Source organism: Homo sapiens, chromosome 8 (genome assembly GCF_000001405.40).
Source record: "Homo sapiens chromosome 8, GRCh38.p14 Primary Assembly".
Classification (NCBI taxonomy): domain Eukaryota; kingdom Metazoa; phylum Chordata; class Mammalia; order Primates; family Hominidae; genus Homo; species Homo sapiens.
This window is the reverse complement of record NC_000008.11, coordinates 32,999,129-33,015,113: the sequence shown is the minus strand read 5'-3', so window position 1 is coordinate 33,015,113 and position 15,985 is coordinate 32,999,129. Positions and strand designations below refer to the sequence as shown.

At 38.4% G+C, this 15,985-nt stretch overlaps 1 long non-coding RNA gene and 1 pseudogene across 9 annotated transcripts in view, besides 1 other annotated feature; both read right to left on the bottom strand.

Annotated features, from left to right (window-relative positions):
* The window catches only part of LOC105379362 (uncharacterized), a 122,073-nt gene that overhangs the window by 34,936 nt on the left and 71,152 nt on the right, over positions 1 to 15,985 (bottom strand). The window lies entirely within an intron of this gene.
* Positions 89 to 1,033, bottom strand: MTND1P6 (MT-ND1 pseudogene 6; annotated as a pseudogene).
* Positions 13,327 to 13,937: an enhancer, noted in NCBI's record as "OCT4-NANOG hESC enhancer chr8:32858695-32859305 (GRCh37/hg19 assembly coordinates)". NCBI's record gives its function as "activates a minimal SCP1, AML or CMV promoter by ChIP-STARR-seq in primed H9 embryonic stem cells {active_cell/tissue: H9 hESC(primed)}" and the evidence as "EXISTENCE:reporter gene assay evidence [ECO:0000049][PMID:30033119]".

The window sequence follows — 15,985 nt, the reverse complement described above, 5'->3', positions numbered from 1 at the left end:
TAACCTCTATTGTAGTTCTAGAAATGAGAGATTTTAACCTGTATTGTTTACTCTATCAAAGTAATTATTTTGTCAGACATATTTCCTATGTTTGGGGTGGCATGCTGGAAATTACGACCGGCATTGAGATATATCATATGCAGAATGCTAGCTTAAGTGGTGGGAAATTTTTTTATAGAAGATACAGGAGCTGGTCATAACGGAATCAAGGGTATGCTGTTCAAATTCATAAAAATAGGGTGGTTAAAAGAAGGCTGTAGGAAATGAAATTTGTGGCATAGAGTTCTCGTGAATATATAGTGTGTAGTGCTCCTAGGAAGACAGTAGTAGTTAGGACATTTATTATGATAACAGTCATGTATTCTGCTATAAAGAAGAGGGCAAATGAGCCTGTGGCATATTCGATGTTGAAGCCTGAGACTAACTCTGACTCCTCCTCTGTTAGATCAAAAAGCGCTCGGTTAGTTTCGCTAGTATGGAGATAAATCGTATTATGGTTAGAGGCCATGATAGCAAGACCAGTCAGAGGAATTCTTGCACTGTGATAACTGGCTCATTTAACTTACATGTACTTATCAGTAGAACTGATAGGATAATGGCTAGGGTGACCTTGTATGAAATTGTCTGGGCCACAGCTCACAATGTGTCGATTAGTGAATATTTTGAATTAGATGCTCATCCTGATCACAGAGTAGACAGCCAGGCTTGATGTGGCTAGTATAAATAGGAGGCCTATATTGAAATTAATTAGAGGGTCTGGTATAGGGAGGGAAGTTCATAAGACGAGAGCAATAGAAAGGGCTAGGATTGGAGCAGTAATATAGAGGGTAATAGTAGATATTGAGGGCCTTAAGGGTTCTTTGGTGAAAAGTTTTATTGCATCAACGACTGGTTGAAGCAGCCCATAGGGACCTACAATGTTAGGTCCTTTGCATAGTTGTATATAGCCTAAGATTTTTTATCCAATGAATATAAGGAATGCTATAGCAATAAGAGTGGGGATAATGAGTAGGAAAAGGTTAATTATAGGCATATTGTTAAGAAGAGGAGTTGAACCTCTGATTATAAAGTTTTATGCAATTTCCGGCCTCTGCCATCTTAAGCCCTGTTCTTGGGTAGGGTGTGTGATGATTTGTTGGATTGAGATAGGATCATCTATGGAGCGAGGGTGCTTTATTAAGTGAGCCCTATTTCTCTTGTTTCATACTAGGAGAAATGTTAAATAGATAGGAACTGACCTGGATTATTCTGGTCTGAATTCAGATCACGTAGGACTTTAATCGTTGAACAAACAAACTCTTAATAGCGGCTCCAGCATTAAGATGTCCTGATTCAGCATCGAGGTAGTCATCCCTATTGTCGCTATGGACTCTAGAATAGGATTGCACTGTTATCCCTAGCATAACTTATTCCATTGATCAAATTATTGGGTCAATGTGTATTCACTTAGAGTAGTGCGGTCTTAGTTTAGGTTGTTCAGAGGTTGGATTATGCCCTGAGGTCACCTCAACCAAAATTTTTAATGCAGGGGGAGTAGGCTAGGGCCTGTAGGCTTGAGTTTTACTTGTATTAATGAACTAAAGTTCCATAGGGTCTTCTCGTCTTATTTGTTTATATCTGCCTTTTCATGGATACGTCAATTTCACTGATTAAAAGTAAGAGACAGCTGAACCCTCATGTGGCCATTCATATAAGTCCCTATTTAGGGAACAAGTGATTATGCTACCTTTGCACAGTCAGGATACTGCGGCCATCGAACATATGTCACTGGACAGGCAGTGCCTCTAATACTGGTAATGCTAGAGGTGATGTTTTTGGTAAATAGGCGGGACAAGATTTGCCAAGTTCCTTTTACTTTTTGTAATTTTTCCTTAGAGCATACCTGTGTTGGTTAACAGTGTAAACAATAGGGTGCTTATTATATTGTTTATTAATGTTATGCTGCTAACTGTAAGTGGATTATTCCAGTCTGATGTAAGCTTATACAATGGAGAATATCTTCATATTACTTATGTTAACATTATTGCTTCTATTAAGTAATAGATTAGACCAATGTGATGTTAGGGGTTCAGTAGCGTGATTAGAATTTAAGATAGTTAGATGTTGAGCTTAAACACTTTCTTAATTGGTGGCTGCTTTTGGGCCAACGATGGTGGTAATATTTTTTACTCTCTGTAGGAAGGTTGTTTCCTAATGTCTAAAGAGCTGTCCCTGTTTTTAGACTCAGTTAAACATACAGGAAGATTAAGTAATTCTGTGGGTAAATTTAAAGTTGAACTAAAATTCCATCTTGGACAACCAGCTATCACCACTACTTATCAATCTTCTTACTATTTTGCCACATAGGTGAGTCTGCTCTTTCAGCTGTTCTTGGGTGGTTCATCTGGTTTTGGGACACTTGGCCGTAGTTCTCTGTGTAAAGTTATTTCTAGTTAATACATTATGCAGAAGGTATAAGGGTTTTGCTTTGCTTTTTAATGCTTGATATAGTTCTTTCATCTTTCCCTTACGGTACTATGTCTATCGTGCCAGGGTAAAAATTTCTATTGCCTATACTTTTGTCTAAGGTAAATGGTTTGATTAAGATAGTTTGATAAAATTTTTAGCGAGGTTTGGGGCTAGAGTTGGCTTAAAGTGATCAGGTCATGATGGAATCCTCCAGGTGTAAGCCAGATACCTTGGGTTAAGCTACACTTTGGTTTGTCCAAGGCTACTTTCCAGTACACTTACCATGTTATGACTTATCTCCTTTATACATGCATAGAAAATTATTAGTAATAGTGATTTCTAGAGGGATATTTGAGGAGGGTGACGGGTGGTGTGTGCATGCTTCATAGCCTTATTCAACCAAGCACTCTGCTCTTGGTTTATTGCTAAATCTTCCTGAGTCCTTAGATTTCATAAAGGTTGTCGTGAGATTTTCTGGACATAGAAAATGTATCCCATTTCTTGCCATCTCATGGGCTACACCTTGACCTAACATTTTTATGTGTGTACTTGTGCTTACTCAATAAACTTTTTAGGGTTTGCTGAAGATGGCCCTATATAGGCTGGGGGCAAGAGGCGGTGAGGTGTATCAGGGTTCATTGATTATAGAACAGGCTCCTCTAGAGGGATATAAAGCACTGCCAAGTCCTTTGAGTTTTAAGCTGTTGCTCAGGCAAATGGTTTTGTTAATGTAACTCTAGTGGGGTATCTAATCCCAGTTTGGGTCTTAGCTATTGTGTCTTCAGGGTATTAAAGCTACTTTTGTAGTACATTTTATTTCAGCTGGAGTTTTTTACAACTTAGATGGGCTTTAACTTTATTGAGGGCAGACCTTAAACACTCTTTACGCTGAGTTCCATTAGCTCGGGTTAATCGTGTGGTGGCTGGCACGAAATTGACCAACCCTAACTATTAGTATAGCTTAGTTAAACTTTCGATTATTATTAATAAAGATTTATCACTTCTGTTCCTGTGGGGGTGTAGTTGGGCAAAGTGTTTTGAGCTGTATTCATGCTTGATACCTGCTCTGAGGGCATTTTCGCTGGGGCAGGGATGCTTGCATGTGTAATCTTACTAAGAGCTAATAAAAAGGTCAGGGCCAAACCTATCTGTTTATGGGGTTGTGCAGACCCATCTAGATATTTTCAGTGTCTTGCTTTGAATAATTAAGCTACATTAGCTACATAAATACTTAAGTATAAAGTTGAAGTATAAGACAGAAAGAAATACATATAAATAGTCGTTTACAGTTTTGGAAATTCAGGGTCTTTAAAGTTGAATTGGCAGAGCTTTGGCTGAGAGGATTACTTATAATTAGAGTATAATTTATTTAGGATATGATATATGGGGCAGTGCTTTCAGAGGGAGATGCTCAAGGTATTATATTAGTATTAGGGTGGAAATTGAGTTATACAAAATGCAGTATTAATTTAGTGGGAGGGTCTTACGATTTTTAGAAAAATTACATCAATTGAGTGGTAGCTGTTGTATTCATGGTTAAAATGTGATTTCTGGGCTCCAACTGGGTTGCATTTTAGTCTTGTTTTTGAGGTTTGGCAAGGGTACATTTACCTAGGTTGATGGTAAATTCAGAGATGGGGGTGGGGGTTGCGGATCTAATCGGAAATAGTTCTTGAAAGTGAGCATACGTGCAGGTCTACTGATTGTTATGTCCTTCAAGCATGAATTAATTAACACTGTATGGTTACTGTGTCAGCCCAGAATATTCAATAAAAGCTCAGCTTCTACAATTGATTTGGCAGGAATCAAATCCGAGTTCGTCTACAGTGGATTCAGCAGGGACTAGGCCTTCCGCGATGTTGAGTGATGGCATCCCCTACAGTTAAAAATACCAAATGCGTGACAGTGCTCCTGTGACTGGTTAATAGGGTGGTAGTCATTAGTCCATCTAGATGTCTTATTTAAGGGGAAAGAGTGGGCGATCTTAATTTTATTGACCTGATGTAAGAACTGGATGCCAGGTATAGTTTCAGTATAGTCACCCCCAAGCGAGATGGAGTCTTGCTCTGTTGCCCAGGCTGGAGTGCAATGGTGCGATCTCAGCTCACTGCAACCTCCAGCGATTCTCCTGTCACGGCCTCCTAAGTAGCTGGGATGACAGGTGTGTGCCACTACACTCAGCTAATTTTTGTATTTTTAGTAAAGACAGGGTTTCACCATGTTGGTCAGGCTGGTCTCGAACTCCTGACATCAGATGACCCACCTGCCTCCCAAAGTGCTGGGATTACAGAGACAGTTCTTTTAAAAAGAAAGAAAATGAAATAAACATACTTCAGTGGAACAAAAATGAGGCAATTCATTACTGGTAAACAAGCAATAATGAAAATACCAAAGGTAGTTATTCAGGCAGAAATAACAAATGCAGATAAGGATGTTAAGTGAAACTCTCATAAGCTGCAGGCGGCAATGTGAACTAGTGCAGTGTTTAAGACTGTTTGGCATTACTTACAAAACCTGTGACCCAGAAATTCCACATCTCCTCACCTACAACTATACCTTAGTAAATGGGATTTTGCAATGGAGTATTCCATGTGTATCTGCAGTCTTTATAGAATAGGAGAAACTTAAGATTAAGCATGATGTAGAATCTCTGTTCAGATGATGAACCTGATAGACATTAACTTGTGATGGAACCTAGCCTCCTGATATAAAGAAAAAACTGCAGACCCAGACGATTGGACACCATCAAGGTCATATCTGGATGTGCAGTTTTCTCTTTATACTGTCTTATATTTACCCCCATCTGCACCATCACAGCCCTGGGCTTTCCCAGTAGCCTAATGCCTGCAAATCTAAGGCTGTAGAAACCCTTCAATAGTCTCATTATTTTATTTTGGTTAAAACAAAATCTGTTCACTGATTTTTAAAAATCACCATGCAAACGGCTCCTTTCTGTGCATAGCTTTTCTACTCAAAACTTTGTCTTTTATTTCAAAAGCATTTAGTCAGCAGTTATTATGTTTCTAACACTTTCCTGGTAGAGGAGCTTGCACAGAGGCTATGACTTCAAGTCAAGAGAGTGACAAAAACATAAAGATGAATGAGAAAACATGGTAATGCTTAGTGAATTAAAAGTACTTCCATCTTACTGCATTTGAGACAGCAAAGGGACAGAGTAAGAGATGAAGCTGGAAAGGTAAGGCAACCCCAGTTGTGATGGATCTTGCAGATATGATTGAATTTTCAATTTTGTGCTAAATAACTTGTCATGACTTTTTACAACTTTACTCACGGGCTTAAAGATTGAAGACTCCAATTACTCTTTCACCTACCTAAATTTTTCTGAAAGGCAAAAGCTCTCCAGAAGTTTAAGGATTGTCTCTCCATAAATATATTCCCAGGAGGAATATAAAACTGTATTTTGGAAAACAATGTGGATTTTTTTCTATTTAATCTGTACTTGACATAGTGTAGTGTGAAAGGATCCAGTTTCCTCCCACTGGTCCTGGTTTCCATACCATAAACACTGACCTACTTAATACCAAGGCCTCTCTCTACAGACTTCATTATCTACTTCCTTTGCAGGTTTATGTTGGCATGTTTTAAAAACTCTATCTAGGGATGCTTTAGCAAAAGGACGGATCAAATTTATCTGAAAAGTGAAAAAGCACTTCATTTTCTTCCTCTCCCATCTGTCTCCTTCACTCCTTTACCTGTTCTTCAGTGTCATGATCTCTATTACACTGATCTTTTCCCGTTCTTCCGATGTGTCTATGACCTTTTTGTTTCCATTTCTTCTGCTATCTAGGTAAGACTCATGGATCTTCACTTCAAACGCTCTCTTGATGTATCCTTTTGTTTTTTTACCCCCTTTGATTTCTACCTTGAAAGACCCAAATGAACATCTTCAAGTCCAAGGACAGACAGAAAAGAGATGGAGTATATAGAAAACATTAGATAGGGGCCAGACTGAAGTAAGAAGTCCACTATGCTCCTCTACCCGTAAGCTAGGCAAGGAATGAGGGGAGCCTAAACTATGGTAGTAGAAATACAACATAGGGATTGGATTCTGGGGACATTAAGAGGTGGAATCACATGACTGTTTCTGGCTTCTGCAGCTAGATAGGGGCCAGCCATTTGCTTAGATAGGTAATAGAGAAAGCGTAGACTTTGGAGGGCTCAAATTCTTAGCTACTATGCTCTTGACCAAATGGAGCTTTTCATGAGCTCAGGGGAGAATTCTGAGACGCACGTGTGACTTGGGAGTCATTCACATGTAAGTAGTAATTGGAGCCATGGGATTTAATTAACTTACAAAGGAAAAATGTGTTGAAAAAAGAAAAAAAAAAAGGAGAGAATCAAGGACCAGGGCAGAAGGATCCATGAAGGAAAATGTGTCAAGAAGCCCATGGAAAAGAGAAAATAAGAAACCTGATGAATGAGCAGAATCGAATGCTATCAAGAGTTCAAAAAAGATAAGCCTAGAAAACATCCTTTGGATTTAATAACAAATAGTTAATCATTGGCACAGTGAGAATAATCATACAGATGGGTGGAAACTAGATTTTCAGTAGTTTGAAAAGTAAATATAATGTGATAAAATGGAGAAAGCTTAGATTGCTGTTTAATCAATTTTATAAAGGAAGAGGCCAAGGCATAGGTGAGACACTATTTTAAAGGTGGCAACAATTTGAGCAGGTTTAAATGTTTTCTTTTGTTTTAATTAGAAACCGGATCTCACTCTATCATACAGGCTGGTGTGCAGTGATGTGATCATAGCTCCCTGCAGTCTTGGACTCCAGAAGTCCTTCCATTTCAGCCTCCCAAGTAGCTTGGACTATAGGCATGTGCCACCATGCCCAGCTAGAGGTGGAGTCTTGCTATGTTGCCCAGGCTGGCCTAGAACATCTGGACTCAAGTGATTCACCTTGGCCTTTTAAAGTGCTGCAATTACAGGTGTGAGCCACTGCACAAAGCAATATTTAAATATTAATGGGAAAGAACTTCAAGGATAGATATAGAAGATGGGTGAGGATGGGAGATTAAAATGAAAAAATATTTTTCTGTTGCTTTATTTGAAAGGTAAAGATTAGGGATGAAACAGATGTAGGCCGGTAGGGTCTGGATGAAAGCAAGGAGAAGCTGGAATTTCTGCCCAATGGCAATTATTTAAAGGAGGTGAAAGTCAAGGTCAACAGCTAAAAGAATAGAACAGAGGAGAAGGAAATGAAAATAAGGACCCGGCTGACACTGGCAACCACAGATGTGTAATTTCAGATTCTCAATCCCTCCTTCATAATAGAATCACTTAGGAACTTTGCAAGAATACACGTTCCCAGTTTCTCCCCTGAAAGATGCTGATTTAATTGTTCTGGGAAGAAATATATCTTTCTCTATATATAGATCTATAGATATCTATATATAGATATACATATATTTTTTTTCCCGAAGCTCCTCAGTTAGTTAGTTCTAATGTACAGCCAGAGTTCAGAAAGTACATTCTGGTGCCTTTGACTTTGTGAATTTGCACCAACAGGGTTCAATAGTCCAGATATGTAAGTCAGAGATGGCGGGTGGTTGAATTGACCCAGAGTTGGAAATGGCAGTGCAGATTTACAGGAAAAACATTGAAGGGATGGTCCCTTGGGTCTAGGCTGAAACAAGAAAATAGACTGGTGCAAAATAGAATAGCCAAGCAGTGGCCAACAGGTGGAGAAGGAATAAGGAAGGATTGATCTGGACATAATGGAGAACTGAGTATCTAAATCCACTCCTTCATACTTTGGGAGGCTGACGTGGGTGATCACTTGAGGTCAGGAGTTTGAGACCAACATGGTGAAAGCCTGTCTCTACTAAAAATAAAATATGACAAATTAGCTGGGTGTGGTGGCACGTGCCTGTAGTCCCAGTGAATCAGGAGGCTGAGGCCAGAGAGGCAGTGAGCCGAGATTTTGCCACTACACTCCAGCCTGGACGACAGAGTGAGATGCTATTACTGCTATTTTTTGAGACACATAAATCCACTCCTTCAGTAATATACTCTGAAACAGTTTTTTAAACATTTCAGCACAAACCTAGAAAAGATGGTATAGAGGGTATAGAGAACAAGTGCAATTCAGTGCTTAGAGTCTGGGGAAGCGGAAAGCATAGATACTGACTAGGGCCTTTGCATCTGACCATCAAATTATGTCAGGGGAAGATTCTTCATGTATCAGTCTAAGTTTATTAGAGGACAAGTCTAGTGACTAAGAATATTTAGCAACTAAGTGATTAAAATCTTCAATTTTAGTGGTTATTAGGAAGTCACATGATTTGGGGATAATCCCTGCTCTGGAAGTAGAGATAGGAGTAACAGTTTTCTCTCAAGACATGATGAATGAAATTTAGGGACTCTGGCTATATTGTTATTCAAATGATCACAAGTTATCAGCATATAATATAAGGCTTTAAATAGTAGAGGCCCCAGAATGAGACAAATGATAGCAAGAGCAAAATAGGGCTCAAGACCAAACCTATTCTGTATGAATCTAGAAAAAATTGTGAAATACTAACAGATGATGTGTCAATAAGAGAGGGAAGAGATCCTGGGCTGATACAAAATGAAGTCTTGATAATTGCCTGGGAGAAGAGAAGAAAAAATGAGTCCTAAGAATTCTTCCACTATTTCATAAGGAATCTTAGAAGCAAGATAAACATTAGCCATTGGGATTCCTTTTCCATTGTTTTTATTTATTAAAGATAGCCTTGTTTTGTCTTCCTCTGAGACTGTTTGAATTGTAACTCTGATGCCCTCTGAACTTTGTTCTTTGATAAAAGTTGGGTAGAAAGAACACGCCACACACCACTATGAATCTGAGATAACTTCCTGACCTGTGCCTAAAAAGACAACTTTAAACTTACCAGGAGGCAACATATTTCTATAAAGATTTTTTTTTTTTTTGGGGAAACAACTTTACCATTCCCATTAGGCTGACAAAGCCAGAAGAAAACATTTCCCAAGGCTGGTTTCCATCAAAACACTTTCACCAATATGGTTTCTGGAAAAAGCAATGTTTCTGTATGTTCTTCCTCAAAGGATGGTGCCTTTTAAATACCCTACATTGCACATGTGACACATTAGGAAGAGCATGAGATTTTCTACCCTAGACATTCCTCTCTGATTTTTTTCTTCCTCCTTGCAAATGAGTGATTATAAATGGAAGCATTTATGATTTACAGTTTTTCTAAACACTTTTATAGGTGATAGATTAAAGTGATTGAGATCTGCATTTCTTTCCTCTTCTCAACAGGCTCTTTCTCTTCATAAATTTATGGCACCACTCTCTTCCAACTGGCTGGCTTATGTTGCATTCGTGCTATTCAGCTGACTCTTCCTCATAATTGAAATGCATAAAAGCTAAAATATGGCTCAAAGGATTTCAGTTGGACCTCATATACTTGAGGGGAATTTTTCAGCATAGAATTCAAAGCCTCTCATGTTCTCAGGGATCTGATGCAACAGAAAAACAGAACCAGGAAAAATAATGCCTCTTACTTCTAATGCTACACAACAAGGGGAGCTGACCCCTTGAGTTCCATTTGGGAGGAGGACAGATGTTGGCATCTAGGCAAATGTACCCCACTCTACCTTGACCCAGGAAGTGAAAGAATGATGATGTCATCTGTAATAATTGGAATCCAGGGAGTGTAATCTACATAATTAGCTCTCCATAGGGAAGTGAACAGAACCCTCCCTTCTATACTTTAGTGTTCTCAAACACACTGAGAAAAGGTAGAGTGGAATGTTCAAATATTAACCAAAGAAGCAAACACTAAAGTCAGAAGATGTATGTTAAATTTCTATATAGCCCCCAGAGTGATTTTTCAGTATAATCACCTCTGAACTCAATACAATTAGTGTAGTAATTGGCAAGTTTTTTGACTTTGCCAGAGAAAAATGTATTTAATAAGAAACTTAATTATCCCAGTCAAAATTTGCTGCATTAATACCTGTATCATTCTTGGACATTTAACTTCACAGGATTTAACTAAGTTATTGAATCGCATGCAAATCAGGACATGAACCATGCAATTGTTCTTGTATGTATTGTCCATGGAGCTAACCTACCTTTTCTCTTGGAGCAGCTGTTTTTGATGGCAAGAAAACAAATGATATTTTATGGTATTTAAAATTGGGGATGAATATAAATCATTCTACCATGAAGACACATGCACACGAACATTCATTGCAGCACTATTCATAATAGCAAAGACATGAAATCAACCTAAATGCCCATCAGTGACAAATTGGATCAAGAAAATGTGGTACATATACACCATGGAATAGTATGCAGCCATAAAGAATAAGATCATGTCTTTTGTGGGAATGTGGATAAAGCTGGAGGCTATTGTTCTTAGCAAACTAATGCGAGAACAGAAAGCCAAATACTGCATTTTCTCACTTATAAGTGGGAGCTACACGATAGGAACACAAAGAAGAAGAAACACACTGGGGTCCACATGAGGGGAGAGGAAGAGGAGCAGAAAAGATGGGTACTGGGCTTAATACCTGGGTGATGAAATGCTATGTACAACAAACCCCTGTGACACATGACATGTTTACCTGTGTAACAAACCTTCACATGTATCCCCAAACCTAAAATAAAAAGTAAAAGTGAGGATGACTATTTAACCATTAAAGCAGCTAAAATGAAAAATAGTGATAGTACCGAATGTTGGCAAGGATGCAGAGAAAGAGGATCCCGTATACACCCCTGGTGAGAATGTAGAACTGTGAAACTACTCTAGAAAATATTTGGCAGTTTCTTAAAAAATTAAACATACACCAACCATATGATCCAGCAATTACACGCCTGGGTATTCATCTCAAGGAAATGAAAACTCATCTCTACACCAACACCTATTTACAAATGTTTACAGCAGCTTGATTTGCAATAGCCAAAAACTGGGGGTTGGGGGGAACCCAGATGTCCTTCAATGGATGAATGGTTACACAAACTGGTATACCCATACCACGGAATACTGTTCAGCAATAAAAAAGAAAAACTACAGCTTGAATAGACCTCAAGGCAATTGTGAGTGAAGAAAAGCAATCTCAAAAGGTTATATGATTCTATTTACATAATATTCTCAAAATGACAAGATTATAGAGATTGAAGTACAGATTAGAGATGGGTAGAGGGAGATACATGTGACTATAAAAGGTAACACGAGAGATATGTCATGATGGACTAGTTCTCTATCTTGTAGTGGTGGCTATGAATCTATACATGACAAAAGTGCATAAAACTATAGACAGGTGTGCCCACACACACAAGTGAGTACAGGTAAAAACGGTAAGATCTGAACACAGTACGAGAATTGTGTCACTGTCAGTTTTCTGGTTTTGCTATAATCTTATGTAACATAACTTAGGTTACCATTGGGGGAAATTGGGTGAAAGGTACATAAGGAAGCCCAGAAGATTTCATTATAACTTGACCACTTTGAGCCAGCTTTAGCTCCAGACTTTGCTAAAGAATGTCTAGTATTTTTGCAATTTCCTGTGAATCTATAATCCTTATTTTAAGACATGAAAATGGGGCTGTCCTTTGAAAATTTTAAAAAAATAGGCCAACTTTATTTTTTGGAAATAACAAAGCCAAATTGACAATATGGAAATGTATATGGCTATAAAAGTGAAAGTTATTCACAAATTTGTACCTTTGTATGAACAGCCTATTTTCATGTTTCTGAAAATTCAATAACCTGACTCAATGTGTTTATTGACATTTTCTTCTACCTGTGAAATGCCTATCTTTCCTATTAAAAAAAAAGTTCCGGAAAACCTAGCAATGACATCTATTGCTGTACAATGTCAAGATGCTATCTTAGTGTTTGCTTCTCACCCTTGCCATATCTCTCTCCTTTCTGAAGACATGCAGCAGTTGATAGTAGCCACTGGGGGTTCAGACTTCTACATGGCACATACTAAACCTTGATTTCATACCCAGTCCAACAGTAGAAGCCCAGACTTACAGACTAGTAGAACACTAATCTTCTTTCTTGTAAAAGTTCACCAAAGCAGACAGATGTATGTGTGTTCATGTTCATTATCCAGCTCGGAACACAAACATATCCTAGTTAATGAGAAATTCAGGGCTAACGGATTTTTCTAATCTCTGGAGGAGATACAGTCTTCCTTACTAGATCTATGACCCTGCAATCTGGGCAAGAGAATCCCCTTCCTTTGGAATCCCTACTCTGGTCCCCATCCCCATTCCCATGTTCTTCACCATGGGACAAGGATCTCAAGTTTCTTACAAAAGGCTAAAAAACGTCCTGGGTTTCTTCCCAGTAGTCAGATTATCACAGGGTGCAACTTTTGACCAATGATAAACATAAGATAGCTCTTAAAAAAGGCACAAAAAGAAGATATTATCTTCCTAGGGCTATGGACAATGGAGTGAATTTTAAAAGGAGTATTGTGAGTTACAGACGATAAAGGAGGAGAGAAATAAACCAGGATCCGTATTTCCAAATTCTAGAAGTTGGTTTTAAATCCTTCCGGGACCTTCCAGGACAATATTGCTGAATCTAATCAAACCACCAATAGCTAGGCTTCTGCACTGCAATACGATGATGACAAGGAACAGGACTCCAAACATAACACCATGCACCATGAACCAGAAAAATGCTGATCATCATTGGTTCCAGCTTTTAATGGAACCAATTACTCAAATCCCCTCAGAGAGGTAGAAGAGCTTGGGTCTGCCCAGGGACTACTGAAGAGATTCCCAAGCGCTTAACTTCAGGCATTATTTGGGTTAGGAGCTTCAATATTCACATTTCTTCTTTATTTCTAAACAGTGTTCAGACGGTGAGACATACATATAACTGAGGTGACTGGAGAGATGAATGCCCCCTGTTCTCATACTTAGAGAGTCTAATTTAGTTTGTACTAACATTTCCAAGATCCCTAATATCTTTTTTGCCTTCCTTCATATTCTTGCTTTGAAAGGTGAATTTATGATGTCATCATTTAGGACTCAAGAGCGCTATGCTAACAGGCTAGCATAGATTAAAAGAATTGTCCTGAGATCATTGCGTTGGATACATAGCTGCATCAACGGTCAATAAATATGATCATTCTCTAAGAGAAGTAATAACAATTAAACCCATCAACTTTCACTGAGGTTGAGAAAACAAAAGATGTTCCAGTTTACAGTGGCCCCATGCCAGGAGACTGCTGAGACTGGAGAATAATCAGACTGCAGGCCGAAGAATGCTATCTTCCAAGAAGAATGTGCTAATGAAAACTTTCAGGAACAGTGATTTCCTCAAGGTTTCTACCAGCATGTTAATCAGTCAGGACCTCAAAGTTTTACGGATCAGGTAAATATTTTCTGGCAGGTGCAAGGAGGAACAACACACAAAATTTCCTCTGAGAAAATTTACTGGGAATAAGGTCTGATGTTATACGCTGCCTATGAACTTTTTTCAATAACCATAAATCAGCCTGCTATTGATGAAAGATTGAAATATCACCTAGACCTGTGAGGATATAAGTATAGCTTATGGAGGAAGCAGGAGCAAAAAGGAAGAAAAATACTGCCTGGAGAATGAACTTGGAGTTTTCTGGCCTGCTCAAGATTAAATAAATGTACCTTGCCTTTGGCAAAACAGTTAATTTTAAGTCTCAGCTTCAGGAATTAGTATCACTCTCCTCTGAACTCACTTCTTTTGATAAAAGTTCCAGGTTGGAATTTTTTTTTGAGGGGTCAGGTAAAAGATTGTGACTCTGAATAACATATTTACCTAGCGATGACTTCTAAAAGCTCAGCTGCATAACAAAGTATGATGGAGTCAGATTCACAGGTAGCAATAAAAGTAAAAAGCCACTTTGTCAAAACCTAATATATCTGAAGTGAAACTGAGTTATGAAGTCCAAAATTTCATTTTTATATTTTTCTGTATTCAGAGAGGTAAATACCCCCATTGCTGAGACAAAGTGTTCCATCCTATGTTAATAGTTGTTCAACATCTTTGAGGTAGCCAGAGAACTGCCATAATCCCAGAACAACCTGAGTGTTCTTGCTGCTGTCACCAGACATGAGGCACCTTTCTGACACTCAGTTCCATATTGGTAAGTGAAAATAATCACACCTATCCCATTGGGTTGTTAGGAGAATTAAGACAAACACAAGGTCTTGCAAGTAATAGGTGTTCTATGGTTGGCAGCACTGAAGGAACACACTTGAAAAATGATCAGGGTTGAATATGTATTCTCAGAAATTATTCTGGAATCATCTCAGGCTACAAATTCAATTTGTTGGCTTTTCTCTGAGAAGCATTCCCCCAAACTCACTTTCTTCTTAACAATGGACTGTCTAAGCCAGGAGCACGGGTTTGCTTTTTAGAAGCACTGTTTCTCTCCATGCAGTGGCTACTTCAGAAGCATCAGAAAACATGTTAAGTAGAAGCTAAAATTGAAGTCACTGGAGGTTTTTGGATGTGAAGGCCTGGCAGTATTCACTTATTTTTAAACTGCACACACATGCGTCTATCTACTCTGGTCAGTGTTCTTGTTATCTGCCACTTCCAAGCATGATTCTTTTCTTCTACTCCTCCTTCTTACCACCATGGAAACTAATGTGACCCTGAAACGTTTTTGTGCCCTTTCTCTTCTGGTTCGATGTCACACAGTCTGTGTGGAGAACTGGAGGTTACTTCAATTCATCTTTCATTCTGTATGTTTTGCCCTCCAAATCTGATAACTGCTTCCTTCCTTAAAATGATAAAATTCCAGAGCCTCTCCTCCCACTAAACTACATTCTCCTTTCACTTCTGAACAGTGAACTACCTCATAATTATTATTCTCCACATGAAACTTTCCCATTAGACTTCCTGTTCTTTTTTGTTCTTGTGGATAAGAGGATAAAATGTGAGCTAGAAGATAATATTCACTTTTATCTGAGTGAATAAGGTACCATACAAGTTCTAATTAAGTCTTCAGGATCAGGCTGGAGGGGAGATAGAGGGTGGGGGTATTTAGCAGAAGACCGCAGGGCTTCTGTCTTGTTTAGAGTATTTATATAAACACAGAGGATACATCAAATTTGCTGATGAACCAAAATGTGGAAAGATAAATAAAAATTGAAAGAAGAGTCAAATCATTTCAGCATATTAGAATAATGAACTAAAGCCAAGAGAACAGAACTTAATATGAAATATAGGCTTTTCCTGTTAAGAAGTAGTTGGTTATAATAATGAGAAAGTAAAAAATTCAAACTATTAGGAAGGGGATATGTCAAAAAGACCTGGAGCTAACTGGAAGAGCTCCCAATGGCCAAAGCTGGACAAATTTGAGCAACAATATAAATGCTGGATTATAACCTAATGTATAAAATATATGAGTTCATACTGCTATAAATAAATGGTTGAATTAATTAATAACTAGAGAGAAGGGAAATCTCCTGTATTGAAGAATCCCAAATCATTTACGTAGATACTCCACCCTCAAAAAGCGTATCATAACTCCTCAGTCAAGCTATGCACA